General features: G+C 43.5%; 1 protein-coding gene and 1 pseudogene across 15 annotated transcripts in view, besides 3 other annotated features; both read left to right on the forward strand.

The window, feature by feature from the left end:
• The window catches only part of ABHD2 (abhydrolase domain containing 2, acylglycerol lipase), a 161358-nt gene that overhangs the window by 65721 nt on the left and 75641 nt on the right, over positions 1-19996 (forward strand). For 12 of the 15 annotated variants that reach the window (NM_001416423.1, NM_001416424.1, NM_007011.8 and 9 more), the window contains 2 exons: positions 7007-7106; positions 9604-9803. The exons of 1 other annotated variant lie outside the window; for it this stretch is intronic. In NM_001416423.1, the coding sequence (NP_001403352.1) occupies positions 9610-9803 (194 nt within the window). In that variant the 5' untranslated portion in view covers positions 7007-7106; positions 9604-9609. The remainder of the gene's footprint in view (positions 1-7006; positions 7107-9603; positions 9804-19996) is intronic. 2 more of the 15 variants (NM_001416422.1, NM_001416418.1) reach the window with 2 other exon arrangements.
• Positions 4531-5069: an enhancer, noted in NCBI's record as "OCT4-NANOG hESC enhancer chr15:89654480-89655018 (GRCh37/hg19 assembly coordinates)". NCBI's record gives its function as "activates a minimal SCP1, AML or CMV promoter by ChIP-STARR-seq in primed H9 embryonic stem cells {active_cell/tissue: H9 hESC(primed)}" and the evidence as "EXISTENCE:reporter gene assay evidence [ECO:0000049][PMID:30033119]".
• Positions 6143-6272: an enhancer, noted in NCBI's record as "active region_10042". NCBI's record gives its function as "activates an Ori minimal core promoter by ATAC-STARR-seq in GM12878 lymphoblastoid cells {active_cell/tissue: GM12878}" and the evidence as "EXISTENCE:reporter gene assay evidence [ECO:0000049][PMID:35858748]".
• Positions 8837-9412: an enhancer, noted in NCBI's record as "NANOG-H3K27ac-H3K4me1 hESC enhancer chr15:89658786-89659361 (GRCh37/hg19 assembly coordinates)". NCBI's record gives its function as "activates a minimal SCP1, AML or CMV promoter by ChIP-STARR-seq in primed H9 embryonic stem cells {active_cell/tissue: H9 hESC(primed)}" and the evidence as "EXISTENCE:reporter gene assay evidence [ECO:0000049][PMID:30033119]".
• Positions 14061-14122, forward strand: RNU7-195P (RNA, U7 small nuclear 195 pseudogene; annotated as a pseudogene).

A 19996-nucleotide genomic window follows, 5' to 3' on the forward strand; every position in this document is an offset into this window, starting at 1 on the left:
ACTTTCTCTCCAAGGGTGTCATGTTGCCCACATTTAAGGTTGACCACTTTTATCTGGTGTAGCAAGTTCAATAGTGACCCTCCAAAATTTATGTCCCATCTGAAACCAGTGAATGTGACCTTATTTGGAAATTGGGTCTTTGCAGATGTAATCAAGTTAAGATGGGGTTGTACTTTTATCTAAGCTGCCACCAAAGAGGCTGAAAAATCAGAATGACATGGGATGGAAACAGACCATGTTTTTGGGGTGGTGTGCTGTGGCCTTCTGCTGTCCTTCTCCTGACATCCTCACAGGGTACTTTGGGGGACAAAGTTTTATCTCAGGGCATTACAGTTTGCTGGGAGATCCAGGCTAGGCAAGAGGGGATTTTTACCTGCAGGGAAGAATGGGTAGTCTTTCCATGGGCAGGAGAAGCCCCTCAGCAGGAGAGGGGTGGTGTCAGGAGCAGGGGTTCCAGCTGTGCACTGCCAAGGATGCATTTTAGCACAGAAAACAAGAACAATGCATCTTGGAACTGTTTATGGGACATGATGATCACCACTTAGTATCCAGTGATTTATTAAGTCTAACATGGTTCCATTTTAGAAGATATGGTTCCATTTTAGAAGAATCAAGAAGAGTATGTCCTGGAATTAATTTTAAACTCATTGGAGGAGGCCCAAGCAGTTAATCAGCTAGTGAGTTCATTGCTAATGAGACTTGTGTGTCAGTTAGGAAGGAGTATGTTTTGTGGTCGTTTCTATCTGTCAACTTAGGTTGTTTACTGAGGCAAAATGGAGGAAAGTTTAATAGTGGAGATGGTAATAGCGAATATTTTGCGGTAGTACCCCAAAATATTAAAAATACGGTAGTATTGTATGCCGGCATTGTTTTAAAATGCTCTTTATGTATTAACATGTTCAGTTTACAGATGGTGTTCAGAGGGATTAAGGAACTTGCCCCAGGACAAACACTGTGGCTGGATTTGGCACTGGCTGTGTCACTGCAGGACTGGACCCTAAATGAAATTTACATCTTCAACCAGATGGAATTGGAACAGAGAAATCCTTTAGGGGTTTGGTTTGGTTTTCCTTGAGAGGTATTTGCCTTAGGACCCATAAGTATCAAAGCTTGTTGTGCTAGGTCCTTGAGGGTTGCAAGGAAGAGAGATCTCCCCCTCCCCCAGCTGTCTGTGTCCTCTGAGCTCTCTCACTTTGCTGATAGCTAAGAGGAAAGGAAAGGATGGTTCTGATAGCTGAATCACAGAGGCAAAGAAGCCAAGCCAATAAGTATTTATTCACAGAATGCAATTTGTATTATGTTAAGAAGTCATCTGTGGGTGTTCATGTCAGTTAGCTGTCATCTGAATTGATGGGAGCGTGTCTGAGTAACAAGGGTCCTTTCAGAAGGAAGTGGCAAACGGTCCCTTCAGCCACTAAGGACAGGAGCGTGGAACTCCTGAGTCATGAGAGGTAATTTGGGCATATTCTCTCACCATTCTAGAAGCTAGAAGTTTGAAAACAGGTTTTACAAGGTTGGCTCCTTCCTTAGGCTCTGAAGGCAAGACTGTTCCCTGCTTGTCTCCTCTTCTGATGGTTGCCAGCCATCCTTGGCATTGCTTGCTGTAGATACGTGGCTCCAGTCTCCACTTCCATCTTCACGTGGCCTCCTCCCCTCTGTATCTGTGTCTTTGTATCCAGATTTCACTTCTTCCAAGGACACCAGTCATGGGGTTAGGACTCCCTCCAACGAGTACGACCCCATCTTAACTTGATTACATTTGCAAAGACCCAATTCCAAATACCGTCACATTCACTGGTTTCAGATGGACATGAATTTTGTGGGGAGGGTCCCTATTCAACTTGCTACACCAGGTAATGGGTTTCCTTTGTTTGGGATCTCTCTGCTCTGTTTGTTCGTGCTTTCCGCACTGTAAGTTGTGTCCTGTCAGTGAATATTGGTGTTCCAAGGCTGAAAGCATCACGATCCCATGCAGGTGGAATGAATATGATGAAATTATTGGCACAGCTGAAAGAAAATATATAACTGTTTAATTTATTTGAAGAAAGAACAAAGGCCCTGAGGGTTGTTAGTTCTTAAGAATTTTACTGTGTAATCATCTATGAAGTAGGCTGGAAAATGGCCGTTTTCTGTTACAAAGTACAGCGATAGTTTTTTCCTGTGCTCTTTAGCCGAGGACCGCAATTCTGTCCCTAGAATCTCAGACATTTCTAGCTGAAAGAGACCTTTGGCATCATCTACTTCTAATCTAACCTTCTCATTTTACAGATGGGGCCTTTAGGGCCCAAAAAGATTAAGTGCCTTGATTCAAGGTCATCAGCCAGGAAAGGGCAGAGCAGACACTAGGACCCAGGTCTCAGAGCCCCCAGACTGGAGCTTTTCCCAGTGCAGTGGCAGTTTCTCACTCTATCTGTGCCTCCATCTGAAAATAATGCTTTTAGCCAGGGGAGAGCAGAAAGAGGCATGGGAGACACAGCTCAGGCCTTCACCTCTGGTGGAAATACCAGTCAAGCTTGTCTTAGAGACCAGGGGCAACACTGGGAGCTCCTTTGGTGACTAGATGTTGGGCATTTGGTAGCACCTTGGTTTCCTTTGTTAATGCGGACTATAAATGGAATTCTGACTACCATTTACAGCACCTAAATCCCATTCATAAAATGGCAGGGAAGGTGTGGGCTAGCCGACAGAGAAGGGATTGCCACAGGGACACAGGAAGCCCAGCCCATCATGAAGGTGGAGCTGGGTTTGGGGTGGGGGTAGGGAGACGCTTCCTTTCCATCTGCGACATACCCAGCCCTCCAGCTGTTCTCTGTGACTTCTTTTCCCTATCTAGGCTGCCTGATGTTCATTTTAACTGGATTTCACCTGTCTGGAAAGTGGGGAGGGCCACACAAAATAATACAATGGAATCAGAGTTTGCTGTATCTAGAACAAGTTCAGAATATTAATATATAGTGACAAGTCAGACTTGGGGAAAAAAGAATACCATAAAACAAAATGCAGCAAGATAAAGTGAATGTGAAAATTTTTCTTCTAAAATTACTTATCTCCTCATTTAATACCTATGTATATGCACGTACATGCACACACTCATACTTACACATGCTTCTACATTTTATACAGTCGTTCCTGTATATCCTTGGGGAAATAGTTCCAGTTCCCCTGCAGATACCAAACCCACAGATGATCAAGTCTGATATAAAATGACATAGTATTTGCATATAACCTATGCATATCCTCCTATATACATTAAATCATCTCTAGATTACTTATAATACCTATTACAAAGTAAATGATGTAAATAATTTAAATACTGTATTGCTTTTATTTAAATTTTTCTTTTTATACTATCTTTTCTCTTATTTTCTTTTTTTTTATTTTTTAAGACGGACTCTCACTCTGTTGCCCAGGCTGGAGTGTGGTAGTGTGGCAACCTCCACCTCTCAGGTTCAAGTGATTCTCCTGCCTCAGCCTGGGATTACAGGCACGTGCCACCATACCTGGCTAATTTTTTTGTATTTTTGGTAGAGATGGGGTCTCCCCATATTGGCCAGGCTCATCTTGAACTCCTGGTCTCAAGTGATCCGCCCGCCTCGGCCTGCAAAGTGCTAGGATTACAGGCGTGAGTCCCCTGCACCCGGCCTTATTGTCTTTTTTTTCAAAAATTTTCATCTGATTGGTTGAACCTGCAGTTAAGGAGGAACAACTGTACTTCATTCGCTAAGGCTGGGTTCTAGATCTAGCTGCTCCATGAGGACTTCCTTGCTTAATTTTTTTTTTTCTGGACTGATTTTTATCTAAGCTTCTAAAGTACAGATAGCCTTAACATAAATTTCTTTTCTCCCTGGTTAAAATGAGAATTTACTTAACTGCCAACCTTCACAGTGCTAGGTGCACAGGAGGTAGTCAGGTACTTAATTAAGCCTGCTGAAACTCCAGGGAGTACCCCCAGGGACATGCAGAACTGACCTGTACCTCAGGACTTCAGGTTGAAACCTTGGATCGAGGCTGTGTAGTTGGACCACAATAATTATAAATCTCTCATAGAATTGCCTTCCCTGAATTGAATTGAATTTTAAAACCTTGGCATTTTTTGAGGGTTGAGGAAATTAATTCTCTACTGCATTTGCTATTTAAAAAAAGTTGTGGGAGGACATTGTCTGTCACATCACTCAAGGTCCCCTTACATAAAGTCCCACATTTTTTTTAAATAATTCTGTGCCAGATAAGCCCTGTTTCCACAGAGTTTCTCTTATGCCACTGGGCGTAAGAGCACAATATATGTTAGCTCTCTTTCCATTTTGGAAACCATAGGTCTGACTGGGTTTCCCTTTTCCCCCTGACAGTCAGAAAGCTCAGATAAATTAATTAAAGCATAATCACATGCATTAAAGCTTTATCACATATATAATTGTTGTGTATGTTGACATACATATTTTCCTTTCCAGTGTTTTAAAATTTCTCCTTAGATTTTCTTAGTTGCTATTTTAAAGCTTTGTTCTAATAATAAAAATGTTTGTAGTCATTATGAATTTTGGGAAATAGAAAAAAAGAAGTCGCCAATACTCTTATAACGCAGTGATTTTAGCATTCATAAAGATTTGAATATATAATTTTCCTTCTATATCTTTAGAAATTGCCAAGTAAAACAGTCTAGAAGTCACAGTGGCTTCAACTGCTCATTCTCTCATGTAAAAGAAGTCCTGAGATAGGCAGTCTAGATCTGATATGGTGGCTCCATTAAGTTGTCAAGAATTCAGATTTCTGTCTCTCTGCCCTGCTGTCATCTTAATGGGGCTCCTAGAGAGACTTCAAGGTCACTTCATGGCCCAAGAGGGCTGTTAGAGTTGCAGCCATGTTTTCTGCATTCCAGGGATGCAAGAAGGGAAAAGGGCAGACAAAGGGTGAACTCCCTGCCCTCTAAGGAGCTTTCCCAAAAATTAGATCTACCCCTCCAGAGCTGACCAGAATTTAGTTACATGGACTCACCTAGCTAAGGGAAGCCAGAAAGCATTCACCAGTCTTATACATTTCCATATCTTTCCCTATGCATATAGATTCAGTAAGGGTGTTTTCTTGAAGCTGTCTCAAATAGTTTGTGGAAAGAGTTAAGGTATAAATAAACCTCAATGAAAATATCAATAAATAAAAGGCACTACATCTTGTTATCCTATCAGCATTGCCACTCTGCCTTTCCATCATTTTTTCTAGGGATTTTTTATTTATATATATATATATTGATTGTATATTTTTCAAATATTCAGTCAACACAGACCTTTTCAGGGCTAGAAGGGACCTTAGATGCTTTTCTCCAAAGGTTGCATATTCAGATGCTTACGGGGACCATTCAGGTACCATACATTATTAAAGCGGGCCAGGGATCAGTGTTGAGGTCACCACTAATAGGGAGTGGTGGGGACTGTGGCCACCTGGAGAGAGCTTGCTGGGTCTGAAGCGGGGCAGCCCTGCTCAGCTCTGTCCATTGTTGCCGTGTGAGAATGCTGGCCCTGTGTTGCCAAATCTTCTGATTTTGTTTCCAAGAGAAACCAGAAATCTAGATTTTTATCTGAAATCTCCTGGTGTTAATAATATGGCAATGAATAAATTAATTTTTTTTAAATGCCAGCTGAATGCAACACTGCCTGCCCCATGGGCTGCCAGTTTAGGATCTTTGATCTGGTCCATGCCCTGTTTTTCATTTGGCAGCCAAGCCTGTGGGGTCAGGTGGCCTGTGATGTGGCTGAAGACTTTGCTCTTCCGGCCCCACCTCACCACAGCCTGGTCCTCTATGACTAATTTGTCTCAGAATAGGGACAGATAATAATTGGAAGCTGGGCAAGACTGTTCTGAAGGTTAATTGATTCTTTCCTTCAATGGGCTTTGTTTTTCTTCTGAGGTCATTTTGGTGTGGTAGAATCAGAAAAAAGAAATTGGGCTTGAATCCCAGCTCTGCTGTTTACAGCTGTCTGACTTTGGGCAAGCCTCTGGTGTCTTGTGTGTGTCTCCTGCACCATCCATTTTCTTGCTTGCCTCTCTTTCTTTCTCACTTACCTGCCTTCAAGTAGCACAGCATGGTGATTAAGAGGAGGATCTCTTGGGCCAGATATGAAAGCTGGCTTTTCTACCCACCAGCTGTATGACACTGGGAAAGTAACTTAAACTTTCTATGTCTCAGTTACCTTGTCTATAAAATGGGGTAATAATAGCATCTACCTCATAGGGTACAGGAAGGATTAAATGAGCTACCATATGTCAAGTTTGAAGAGCAGAGCTTAGCACGTAGATAGTGCTGCATAAACATTGGGCTGTTTCCCCCATGTTCTCTCTTTTGCTTCTGCTGCTTTGGAAGCCATAGATCTTTTAGCAGCTTCTTGCACTAGGCTCAGCTCAGGTCCCCCATCTGACAGCAAGCACTTTTAGCTTCTGGCGCTTCTCAGCAGCCAGCCTCTGGCCATAGTCTGAACTCAGACCCTACAAGCAATGCAATCCCCTACCTTTTGCTTTTGGCCCTGTTCTGTTTCTGGTACTTTGTTTTTGAGCCCATCTGTGCCCTATTACTTTTCTCAGCTCATATTTTTTTCTGTCCCTGCTGTATGTTTGGAAGAGAACAAATAAGTCGACTGGCTGTGCTGTCTCGATCTCAAGCCTTGCTAAGTTATTTCATTGGTCACACAGAGATGTTACCTGTCCTGTTAGGCATTTCTGGAGATTATGTTGTGAGATAAAGGTTCAAAGCAGTGTGAATTGGCTTTAGCCAGAATTAGGAACACAGCAGAAAACTTGTCCTAGAAACCAGAGAGAGCCTGTCAGTCTTGGTGGATTCACAAAGCCTTCCCGCAGCAGGCTTGTTAAAAAGGCCAAACATTCAAGAGTGTGGCATACATGTTAATTAACAAAATTGTCTTTTCCCTAAAGACTTTAAATGCAGAGGAACTTGACTGTGCTTACGTTTCAATTAAACTGCTTCTTTTTCGTTCTTTAAAACATTACCATCCAATCTTTTTAGCTTTTAGGTTTGTTTGAATAAGAGATCTGACCTGACCGGCCCAACTGTACAACTCTTCAAGGAAAATTCGTATTTGCAGTGGGAAGAATAAGTAACATTGGTATGTATTGCTGAGACTCTTATTTTTGTTTCTCCTCCCCTTATGTTAGGAAGCAGTGAATAGAAGTGGGAAGGGAAGGACTGACTTGTTTAATTCAACAAGTCCACCCCAAACCAACAAGGAAACTGGTAGAAACTACTTGCTGCATTACCCTGTTCTGTTTCCAACAAAGGTGATGAGGAAGAACTTCTAGTTCAGTTCTGTATTACCAGCATATAGTCAGAGAATTTCTGGTGGATTTTAGTTTTGGTCCTCTAATAGAATGTGGAGACTTAAAAGCCTATATTAACAAGCTGCATCATCTTGGACATTTGTTTAGCCTTTGTTTGGCATCCGTGGCAGGGTTTGGACAAGGTGAGGAATGGCAGCCACAGGTTAAACCTATTGGGCATCTTAGTGCAGTGCTATGTACTTTTTTAGGCCACAGACCCTTTTTAGAGAATCTGATTAAAGCTGCGAACCCTCTGCCCAGAAAACTGCTCATGTGCACAAACTTTCACATGATTTCAGGGGGTTCTTAGACCGCAGGATCCCACAGGGAACCCACAGACCCCAAGTTAAGGATCCTTGTTTTAGGGGTTTATAGACAGCTTTCAGGGGATATGACCCCAGGAGTGAGGAGGAGTGTCACCAGAAGTTAAGTTTTTTTTGTTTTGTTTTTTGTTTTTGTTTTTTTGAGACGGCGTTTCGCTCTTGTCCCCAGGCTGGAGTGCAGTGGTGTGATCTTGGCTCACTGCAACCTATGCTTTCCGGGTTCAAGTGATCCTCCTGCCTCAGACTCCCAAGTAGCTGGGATTACAGGCATGTGCCACCACGCCCGGCAAATTTTTGTATTTTTGGTAGAGACAGGATTTCACCATGTTGGCCAGGGCTGGTCTCGAACTCCTGAGCTCAAGTGATCCACCCACTTTGGCCTCCCAAAGTGCATGATTACAGGCATGAGCCATGGTGCCCAGCCCAGAAGTTAAGTTTTAGGAAAACTGTCTCCTCACAGAAGTTCAGTGTAGCTGAGTTTATATTCATGGCCTAGCCTTGATTTGAAATTGTGTCAGTAAGTTTTTAAAAATCCTTGTCTTGCCCTGATGGTGGAAGACTAGTTACGGAGCTGTGATCTTTTACTTCCATTCATTACTGAATTAGGAATCCCTGCCAGAGATTTTCTGCCAAAGTGACCTCGAGTTTAGAAAAGGGTTTCTGAGTCCTCTCTGGACTTACTGTAGGTCTTAGGAAAGTTCAGTCGGTTATACCCCAAACACAGTTGGTGGAGATTGTTTTGTTCTGCCTGTCTCTAGCACTGGCTACCAGAGCTCTCATGATGACTGTTGTTAGCAGAGGCTACTTGAAACCATTCCAGGGGAAGCTGTTGCCATAGCTACCTTGGCTATGAGAGTTACCATTTTCTCTTTTTTGTTAGCTTGTGATTTCCCTGATTTTTAAGGTTAACAGCTGATGTTCTGTTTTTCTGCCGAGCAGCAAGGAAAATACTGGATTTTTGTTGCTGTTGCTTTTGTCATTGCTTATGTTTGGTTTTATATGTTTGGAGGTATGTGTGTGTGTGTGTGTGTGTGTGTGTGTGTGTGTGTGTGTGTGTGTGTGTGTGTGTGTGTTTTGTATATAAGGTAAAGTTACTTCAAAAGAGAAATATTGGGAGAGCTTGGGAAAGGCCAGATGAGCATATACATTTTCTGTATTCCAATTTTAGATTTTGACCTAGTGGTCAATTTGGTTTACTTTTAACCTAATTTTGGACTAATGGCTATAGTCAGGTAGCCTCCGCAGGGGGAAAAAACAAAACAAAACAAACTAGCCGAGCTCTATTTCATTCCTGAAACCCTTAGTAGCCAGGATCGCTGCGACCTGGGCTGAGTCTGACCCAGACTCCAGCACTGGGGAGCCTGTGGGGAGCAGATGGCTGAGTCAGGCTGAGGTTGCTTTATCTCAGCCTGCTCTGCAAATAAAGGGGTGAAGCCAGCAGGCAGTACAACCACACCTGGTGGCACCAGCAGTCCTTTCCGGGTTTCTGTTCAAGGCTGTAAACACAACATTTAACACACACCTGGGGCACCAGGTGCAGGTTAAGCCTACAGAGAGGAAAAAAAACAAAAGGATGACCTGTTAACAAAAATCAAAGTGCTACCCCTAGTCCTGCAGCCACCTCTTCGACTGATCTTATTTTTCCCCCTCCGATAAAGGACACTATTCTTAGCATTTTTCAATTTTCTGATTTGCTCATCTTAGAAATGCTTGTGAAATTATAAAAAGAAAACACAGTACCCAGTTTATCCATGCTCAGACTGTTTGTGATTTGGATTATGGCCAGTTGATTAGTAGCTGTAAGATGCTGGTGGTGTCTGCCTGTCAGGAGCCTGCGGAAACATCTGAATTGTGACACACCGTCACTGGCAGTATCTCTTAGCCCACCATGCGTCTGTAGGGTGGTGGGCACCACCCGTCCTCACTGTGCTTGTAAACTTAGACCTGTGCCTCTGCTCCCCAGATCAAGATGAATGCCATGCTGGAGACTCCCGAACTCCCAGCCGTGTTTGATGGAGTGAAGCTGGCTGCAGTGGCTGCTGTGCTGTACGTGATCGTCCGGTGTTTGAACCTGAAGAGCCCCACAGCCCCACCTGACCTCTACTTCCAGGACTCGGGGCTCTCACGCTTTCTGCTCAAGTCCTGTCCTCTTCTGACCAAAGAGTGAGTAGACCTCATGCCCTCTGTATGCTCAGCTGCTGATGTATTTGGCTTTGTGTGATGTTCAAAGAAGAAACTTCTCTCATCGTGTCCTTAAGGCATCAATGGGATATGACGTCACTGGTGTTAAAATAGCCACAGTCTGATTGCAGTCTAGTGTTTGAATCCTGGAGGGTAGGAGAGAATCAGATCTCTGTTGCCTGAAACATTCCTTCCTCTACAGTGTGATGTCATTATCCATGACAGGGACTTTGCAGAAAATAGTAGTCATTTTTAGGCAGATATGGAAAAGTTGGACAATATTCTAGTCCTTTAACGAATGCTTTGTTGCCAGTTCTAGGATGGAGAAACTATCCTCACCCAAAATAATTAATAAGCAAAAAAGCACAGATCCATTAGTTGAGTACTCTCCATCTGCCTTGTTGAAAAATGTACCAAGCATTAGCTAAGAGAATGCACTTAAAGAGAGTGCTTTGTATGAGTGAACCAGGTTTCCCTATAGAAGCCCAGATCTGTATTTTTTTTTAGATAGAGTCTTGCTCAGTCACTCAGGCTGGAGTACAGTGGCATGATCTCGACTCACTGCAACCTCCACCTCCCGGGTTCAAGCGATTCTGGTGTCTCAGCCTCTGGAGTAGCTGGAATTACAGGTGTGCTCCACCATGCCCGGCTAATTTTTGTATTTTTAGTAGAGACGGGGTTTCGCCATGTTGGCCAGGCTGGTCTTGAACTCCTGACCTCAAGTGATCTGCCCGCCTTGGCCTCCCAAAGTGCTGGGATTACAGGCATGAGCCACTGCACCTTCCTCCAGATCTGTATTTTGGAGGCAGCAGGGGCGGGCTCTGCTTCTGACAGAGGAAACTGTAGTTGTAAAATGAAGGGAATCTGCACTCTGTGTCACACATACTGTTTTCAAGAGATGCAGTGTTCACTTTTTCTCTATAGATGTCTTCTGAATGACTGTGTCTTCCTCCAGGGCTCAGGCCAAGCCTCGTGCACAGTGGGTCTGAATTCCCCACTCCTTTTGTCATGCTGCTTCACTCGCTTTGTGCTTTTTCAAGCTTACTCCATTCTGCCTGTGCCTTCTCAGGCTGCAGCTACTCAGAGAGATGTCTTCCTCAAGTGTGTCCGTTCAGCACATGACTAATGCAGTTGCTAAGACCCAGTGGTGGTAGAAGCTCTTCCCTGCATCCTGATAGCACCTCTCATCACCTCTTTTGGCTGTTGGGGACACTGGGTGAATGATTCTCTTCTAAGAGCAGACAAATAGGCAATGAACATCTGAGAGTCTGGGCCCCTGCTTTGTGTAGTTGTCTAGTTAATTTTCACATGTACTATTATGTGCTTTAGGTGTTTTGGGTGTACATGGGCGGTATTCTTATGCAGTTTTCTCATAGTTGTGACAGTGATGTCATGACCCCAAGTCAAGAGAGAGATTGCGTAATAGTGGTGGACACTATAAATGTCATCATACTGAATTTGGAACTGCCCCTGCTGAGGGGACTTTTTATTACAGTAGCCTCCACAGCCAGGCACAAGAGCAAGGACATGGTGTTCTTATATGCAGTGTTTGCAGTTAAAAATCAGCTCTGTAAAGGGTGTGCACGGTATATGTTTTGAAAATCATCCAGTATTTGTCATAGTCATATTTTGAATGTTTCTTTTTTTCTTTCTTTTTTTTTTGAGACAGAGTCTCACTCTGTCACCCGGGCTGGAGTGCAGTAGCATGATCTCAGCTCACTGTAACCTCTGCTTCCCAGGTTCAAGCGATTCTCCTACCTTAGCCTCCCCAGTAGCTGGGACTACGTGCCACCACGCCCAGCTAATTTTTGTATTTTTTGGTAGAGACGGGGTTTCACCATGTTGGCCAGGCTGGTCTTGAACTCCTGACCTCAGGTAATCTGCCAGCCTCAAAAGTGCTGGGATTACAAGCATGAGCCACGGCGCTCGGCCTGAATTTTTTTTAATACTTAATTTAGATCAATAACTTCGACTGTTACTGAAATTTGCACTCACTTTCAGCTTACAGTTTGGGTAGGACTGCTAGACCCAGTTCTTTTGTCATCTCATTCTTAGAGAGCTCTTGAAAACCAAAGTATTTAAAACCCTGCAAGTTTCTGTGCAGATGAGTGCAAATTTCCACCCAGCATTGGTTCCTGAGTAATTAGAGGAAGGAAGCCATGCAAAAGCTGCTATTGCCCAGGCTCCAGAAAAACATCATGTAAGGTTTGATTCCATACTAATTGTTCAAAGTGTAAAAGAAAGCTGACTGTGGCAGTTTTTACCTCCTTTTCTTTTTTTTCCTTTTAAAAATAATCCAGAGACATTAAGCCCAACAGTTTCTCTTTGCTTTTTTCCCTCTCTAGCACATTTTCTTGATGAGTCTAAGGTGTGACCTCTACTGAAATGGCTCCCACCCACCTCCTCCTATGGAAGTGGATCCCCAGCCCCATCTCCTTGGACCTCGTGGCTGTGTTTAGAAAATTAGCATCAGCCTAAGCCAGGGGCATCAGCATGGAGCCCCCTGGTCATTGGCTGATTGCCACCCTCTCTCCTGGTGAAGCCCGAACTAGGGAGTGGTGGAGGTCAGCCTAAGTTAAAGGCAAACCTGATGATTGTTTATGACTTAGCTATGGTTTGAAGGTGTATGTGAAGGGACAAATTCTCCAGAACCAATTTCCTTCCAAAGCCTCTCCCTTTGATGATAGGACCAGCCCTCTTAGAGCATGTTGGAGCATTACTTAAGCAGCTAAATTCTAAACACCCGAGCAATCTGACTTGAACATGACAAATGACTAAAGGGCAAAAGGATTCACTTTATTGCCCCCCCATCCTTCAACTCACCTCTTATTTCTGATTTAGATTCTAATTTTAGGAATCACTGTATCCTGTGTTCATGTCTCATATCACCAAAATGTTTTCACATTACCACTCTCTTTTGTCCGCGTTACTACTGCATTTGAAATTTGTTGAGTACCTTTCATAGACGTTATGCCATTCAGTCTTACCAACCTTAAGGTTGGATTCATTTTTCCTTTCATTTTAGGGATGAGGAAACTGGGAGTAGCAGAGAGGGAAACTGAACTCAAACTGGAGTGTGACACCAGGTTGGCTGCCTTCCTATCTCTGGGGAAGTGAACAGGGACTTTTCTTGGGTACAAGTGAGAGAACTGAGGCAGAGGCCAGCCCCTGATGATGACAGCCCCTGGGTGACCTTTGATTCCCATCTGACCCTCTTTCTGTTTCTGTCACTCCACTGGAAGCTACTGTCCCCCATAGTCTTTTTCTGTGTCACATGACTATAACAACCTCCCATGTGTTGAAAGCTAAGGGCAGGAAACACGTCTGTTATGAGGGAAAGTGCTTCTCCTGGGACTTTGAAGATTTTTTTCCTACAAGGAAGCCTGTCTGCAGCCTTCACAAGCACTCGCCTAGGCTGGAAAGTTCTGTTAACTGATTTACAACAAGCTGTGAATATTAGTCAGTAATCCTGACCGCGGGTAGCTGGTTATGATGACATGCGCGGAATCAGGACGTGTCTTCTTACTGTTCTGGTATAGAAAAAAAGTTGATGAAAGGTGAACATCGAAAGCATGCTCGAGGAGCAGGGATTACTGTTTTCCCCCTCAGCATTAAAGTCAATTTGAAAATCTGTTCTAAGATGATTTACCCAAAGATACATTATAAATTAATCTTTTAATGTCTGGAGGAAAACTTTGCTTCAGTGGGATGTTATGTCTCCTGTTCTCTTAGAAACAGATCAATATTTACCTAGTGATTCATTTTTTGTTCTCATGAAGTGTTTACTTTTAGTGAAACAAGCAGACGCCCAGTTCGGAATTATGACAAAAATCTAGATAGTCATACAAATCTTTTTTTTTCAATAAAAACTTTGATGCATATTCATTTTTTTAAATGGAAAAGGTAGAGCACACAAAAATTATCTATAAATGTTATAGCTCTTTCTTTTTTCTTTTTTGAGACAGAGTCTCACTCTGTTGCCTAGGCTGGAGTACAGTGGCGCAATCTCAAATCTCGGTTCACTGCAACTTCTGCCTCACGGGTTCAAGTGATTCTCCTACCTCAGCCTCCTGAGTAGCTGGGATTACAGGCGCATGCCACCACACCCAGCTAATTTTTGTATTTTTAATAGAGATGGGGTTTCACCCTGTTGGTCAGGCTGGTCTTGAACTGTTGACCTCGTGATCCGCCCGCCTCGGCCTTCCAAAGTGCTGCGATTACAGGCGTGAGCCACCACACTGGCCCTATAGCTCTTTTGGAATTTGTCTAACAGGTTTTTCAGTTTTTAGCAGAAAACCTCCCACGTGAAAAAAAAAATTATAATTCTACCCAGAGATAATGCACTATTAATATGTGGGCAATCATCCCTGTGGTTTTCCTTCTCCTTATACTTGCCCCCACAAAATCACGGTGATAGATATTGTTTAGTAACCTGCTTTCACCAAACCATGATGAACGTTGCCATGAACATTCACCCATGCTGCTACCTGTCTACTCACGTTTGACTTTTTTATAGCTTCAGAATTCTGTCATTCATTCAAATTTCCTGATGGCTGCTGGCAACAGTTGGGCAGAGAAAGAGCTTTGAATTGAAATTTGAACTAGGATGCAAACCTAGGTCTTCTACCTCTAAACTGGCCACAGAACCCTGGATAAAATGATAGCCCCTCTGGTCCTTGGTTTCCTTCTATGTAAAATGAAATAGGTGTGTCTCCCATGGTGCCCTTCAGCACGGACATCTTCTGATTCTGGTACCCTTGCTTTGTTAGCAAACATCAGAGTGGTCTTTTTAGGGGAAGGACCCTGGGAGAGGGTCCCTGACTGCAGGGTAAAGAGACTGGTTTTCTTGTGTGCTTGTCTTCTTCTAACTATTCCCAGCCCCCGTACTCCTGGACAGGCTGGCACTGTCTCCCTTTGGCTTTTTTTTTTTTAAGTACTTTTTAAAGCTATCATTTACATACAGTAAAATATACAAATCTTAAGTATATAGCTCAGGGGCTTTGTGTATGTATTCAGCTGTGTAACTACCAGTCCCTTGGGTGTTTACAAAAGTGTACTATGACCTCCCTGCCTCTGACCTACCCATCTGTCATAATACTACTCGAGTTGGCTTCCTCAAGCAGGCCAGCAGCCGAGGCATGAACCTACCTGTCCAGCCTCATTACTCACAGCATTCTCTCATTGCCTGTGAAGTACCTGACCTTTGGGCTGTTGTTTCCCCACTATCCCAGATCCCCTCTTTTTTCTCAGCACCAAAATGCCTCTTATCCTATAAGAAAACTTAAATAGCATCAATTCTGCTTTTAAGAGACAGAGTCTCACTCTGTTGCCCAGGCTGGAGTGCAGTAGTGCAATCGTAACTCACCGTAACCTCAAACTCCTGAGCTCAAGCTATCCTCCTGCCTGTCTCCCAAGTAGCTGGGACTACAGGTGGGCACCACAACACCCAGCTAATTTTTAAAATTTTTTTTATAGAGACAGAGCCCCATTATGTTGCCCAGTCTGGTCTCAAACTCCTGGCCTTAAGCCATCCTTCCACCTTGGCCTCCCAAAGCGCTGGGATTTCAGGTGGGAGCCCCTGTGCCCTGCCTTAAATAGCATCAGTTCTGAGATACTATTCTCTAACTTGCCGCCCTACTCCTCTTTAGCCAGAATGAGCCCTTCTTCCATCTTCCTACCATGTTTCCCCAACATATAACTTCTGTGTCCGTTTAAAATGTTCCATCTTGTTTTATGAGAATTTGTGTCTCTTTTCTTTATCACTGGAATATACACCCCAAATCAAGAGCCGCATACCTGGGGAGACAGAACAGGATTCCTGGTGGTTCCAAATCTCAAGTACAATGCCATTCTGTATCTTGTTTTCCATAAACAGGTGTAAGTGAACGATGTTCTCATTTTGGCAGACGCCATGTGTGCCTGCCCAGGAGAAACAAACTGCACTGTATCCGGCTTGTTCAATGGTGCTCTAGGGAATCAGGTGTACCTTCAGCTCTGACAGAGCTTTGTTGATCTGGGAAGGCTCTACCCTGTTTCTGGAAGAAGATGGATTGCTTATGGTCTTAAATTAAGGCAGGACAACCCCAGGCATATGCATAATGGCAGTTCACAGCCTCCACCCTTCCCTCTGGGCCTGGCTGAAGTTTTCATCACCAGGTCCCGGTTGGGAAGTAGAGACAGGCAGCAGGTGCCCTGTCTCTGGAAGCCTGCTATTAAAATGTACATACTGCCCTGTGGGAAGCCAGGCTGCTGCTTTTTCACTCGTTAGCAAGCTTGCCAGTATGGGCTGTCTTATAGCTAAAGATGAAGGCATTTAGGAGGAGTGTGATGGAGGACTTGGCTAATAGGCCGAAAAACAGAGAGTTGAGTTGTCTTCACTGGATCCAAGAGACATCTAGAAGCCCCTGCAGAGTCCAGAGAAGGGAGGCAGTATGATGAAAACCACAGCCACATGTATGTGGGTACTTTCTTCCCCAGAGATGCAAAGGTAATCGCTTTCTTCTGCAACCAGCTGCCACCTGTATTAAAAAGAACTGGACATTATTGTTCTCTGTGGATTTGAGAGACACCTGAAACTTAGGGGTGAGGGGCATACCCACTAACACCAAGCCAAAAATTACAGTTGGCTCTCCTATGCCATGGTGCCCTCTCTGGACGTGTCCGCCTGGAAGCTGCTTCAGGTAGTCATAAGAGAATGGGAGGAGCCCTGTGGCCCTTCCATAGACCATAATGGATTCATCTCCGGTGGTTTTCCCTTTTTCTCTTCACTCACCGGAGTACAAGCTCCAAACGGAAATCCAATTGGAATGCTGTTCTCATCATAATGTGTCCAAACCTTTAGTTTCCTGCCAATTAGTCATCCATCAGCCTTGGTTAGTGAGCATTTGAGGATCTACTTCTCTGAGACTCATCGTGGGGAGGCATTTGTAAAAGATCAGTTTTTCAAGCTTTTTAATTACGGAAGTTTTCTAGAGGCACTTTTTAAAAATCAGTTTCCTCACAAATGTGCTTCCTAGTTATTTCTCTTTTTTTTTCTCCTTTCTTTCTTTCTTTCTTTTTTTTTTTTTTTTTTTTTTGAGACAATGTCTCACTCTATTACCCAGGTTGGAGTACAATGGCACAATCATGGCTCATTGTAGCCTCAACCTGCTGGGCTCAAGAGATCCTCCCATCTCAGCCTCACAAGTGTCTGGAACCAAAGGTCCACACCACCATGGCTGGCTAATTTTTAAAAATATATTTGTAAAGACAGGGTCTCACCTGTGTCACCATGTTGTACAAGCTGGTCTTAAACCCCTGGGCTAGCGATCCTCCAGCCTCAGCCTCCCAAAGTGCTGGGGTTATAGGTGTGAGCCACCACACCCAGCCCCTAATTATTTCTAATAAAGCAGAGCAAATCTACTTTTGATTTTTCTCTCAAACAGTACCAACTCCCTCTCTATTGCTGTTGTACATACTTCTTAACAGTAAATATCCATTTTTCTTTTATCTGCCCCAAATAAGAGCTCAGTTCTGTGTGTACGAACACTATATTTGTCATAGATATGCAAAATATGCTATTTTTGTCCTAGTGTACCAAGGAAGTATTAAATAATTAGAAATACACTACAGAAAAGCACTCATTCAAATCTCTCTGATAGTGCAATATATGGAGTTATTTTCTGGATCTAAAGAGCACGGGACTCCATATATGAAACGGCCACTTCTTCCATTTTCTTTTCTGCCTACTTGTTATAAAGCTGTTTCTTTGCAGAGGCAGTACCAATGCAGAGGCTGGGGTTAGGAGCTTTGAGATGGACAGTTGTTGTTTTCTCAATCTTAAAGCATCAGGCAAATGCAACTTCACACACTCTCTTCCAGTCAGATTGCCACCCTAGGCCCCTCCTAGGTAAAAAAAATTCTGGAACCAGCACAGCTTATTTATTTATAGCAAGTTAAAGCTGAAAAGAATTTCATTATCTTTGACTTAAATTTCTCTTAATTCCCTCTTGCTCACAGACATTCCACATCAGATTTAGATCCTTTCCTTCTTGGCTGAACACTAAAGCTTTGTCCTTTTCACAGGATAAATTCCTAATTGCCAAGAGCCTTAATTCCATCGACCTGATTTTATCTGTTTTAAGAGTTGTGCAGACTGGGCATGGGGGCTCATGCCTGTAATGCCAGCACTTTGGGAGGCTGAGGTGGGTGGATCACGAGGTCAAGAGATCAAGACCATCCTGGCTAACATGGTGAAACCCCGTTTCTACTAAAAATACAAAAATTAGGGCTGGGCGCGGTGGCTAACACCTGTAATCCCAGCACTTTGGGAGGCCAAGGCAGGCGGATCACCTGAGGTCAGGAGTTCGAGACCAGCCTGGCCAACATGGTGAAACCCCGTCTCTACTAAAAATACAAAAATTGGCCGGGCATGGTGGCAGGTGCCTGTAATCCCAGCTAATCGGGAGGCTGAGGCAGGAGAATTGCTTGAACCCAGGAGGTGGAGGTTGCAGTGAGCTGAGATCGTGCCATTGCACTCCAGCCTTGGGGACAAGAGTGAGACTTTGTCTCAAAAAAAAAAAAACCAGTTAGTTGGGCATGGTGGCACATGCCTGTAGTCCCAGCTACTGAGGAGGCTGAGGCAGAAGAATCACTTGAACCTGTGAGGCAGAGGTTGCAGTGAGCCGACATTGCGCCACTGCACTCCAGCCTGGCGACAGAGGGAGACTCCATGTCAAAAAAAAAAAAAGAGTTGTGCAAATATTTCTTTGGATATTTCTGGTAAACTATTAACAAGTGATTGGCAGAACTGTAGTGTTCTGATGTGCTTATTTTGTAGCCACCAGACCTTCAGAGCATATTCACCTGCAAACTTATATTGTTAGAAAATTCCTGAAAAATGGAAGACTCAAAATCATCTTGATTGAGGCTAAATATTAAGGGCTAGCCTCAATAAGTCAAACTTTTAGGCAATTTCATCTTAAAATTGCTCATGTTTCTGGTGAAATAGCCCAAACCAAAACTGTCAAAGTAAGAAAGTTAAACTGCTGACTCTGGGACACTCTTTTATTACTTGGCTGACCAAACATTCCAGTTTGCTCAGGACTGGGGCATGGGACTGTCAGTACTAATACCGGGGAATTCCAGGGCAAACAGGGATAAGTTGTTCACCCTCTCAACTACTCACTATCTTGGATGTTGCCTGCCTGCCCTGTCTCTGCTGTAGCAGGTCATTTATGCAAGGGGCCAGCCACATCAGGAAGAAAAGTGCCGCCATCTTTGAGGTCTCCTATATTGAATCAAGATCACCAAGTCTGAGTCTGCTGCAGAATTCATCCACCTTCTCTAACCTAGATACAGATTGTAGCTTCTTCTTAGAGACTTTATGCCTTCTTATAGGAATTGCCGAAGCCTGAAAGATCTAAAAAAAGGTTCGGAATCCAAAATAGTCAAGACTCCCGTGATTTAGTTCAGATGGAAAAAGGCTCATCCTTTATGTGCCGAGCATTCTTTAAAACAACCAATTCTGGTTTCCAAAAATGTATGACCCTTATACCGCCCTATTCATCATACCTGAGTTTACTCTTCAGGGCCCTACTATGTCTCCAAAAAAGGAGTATATGTCTTCCAAAAGGAAGTATATGCTACAACTGATTCCATCACGTGGTATCAAATTCAGTACATGTGGACGGTAAGTGGGCCTTGGCTCCACGTGTAAGGTCCTGTTTTGAGTCACCCCTCTGTGTCACCCCTTCCCAGACTCGATTTCAGAATCCACCTTGGTTCACCATTCATCCTTAACTTTTAGCTTACACCTCATTTGCTTTACAGGACTTACATGGAATCAGATCTACTTTTATACTCCTTCTCAATGTGTGGTTGACTGAAAATTGCTCCACTATCCGGGAGCAGGAAATGGACCTTGTTTTCTAGAAAGTCTCGAATTTCTAAGGATAGCCAACTTTTATCAGCCTCTCATGTTTTACTGACCCTGTGAATTCAGAGGTTGCCAATTTTGATCTCCACTGTTCTTTTTCTCTGCCTGCTTCTCAGCATGCCCTCCTTCACTATGATAGTACACTTTGTACTACAAAATAGTATATACTTTATGGTAAAATAAAATTAAGACAGTAAACTGACTTGGAAAATATATTCTGGAGGGTAAGTAAGAATTTTTCCTAAACTCTCAGTGCCAG

Source organism: Homo sapiens, chromosome 15, assembly GCF_000001405.40.
Source record: "Homo sapiens chromosome 15, GRCh38.p14 Primary Assembly".
NCBI lineage: Eukaryota > Metazoa > Chordata > Mammalia > Primates > Hominidae > Homo > Homo sapiens.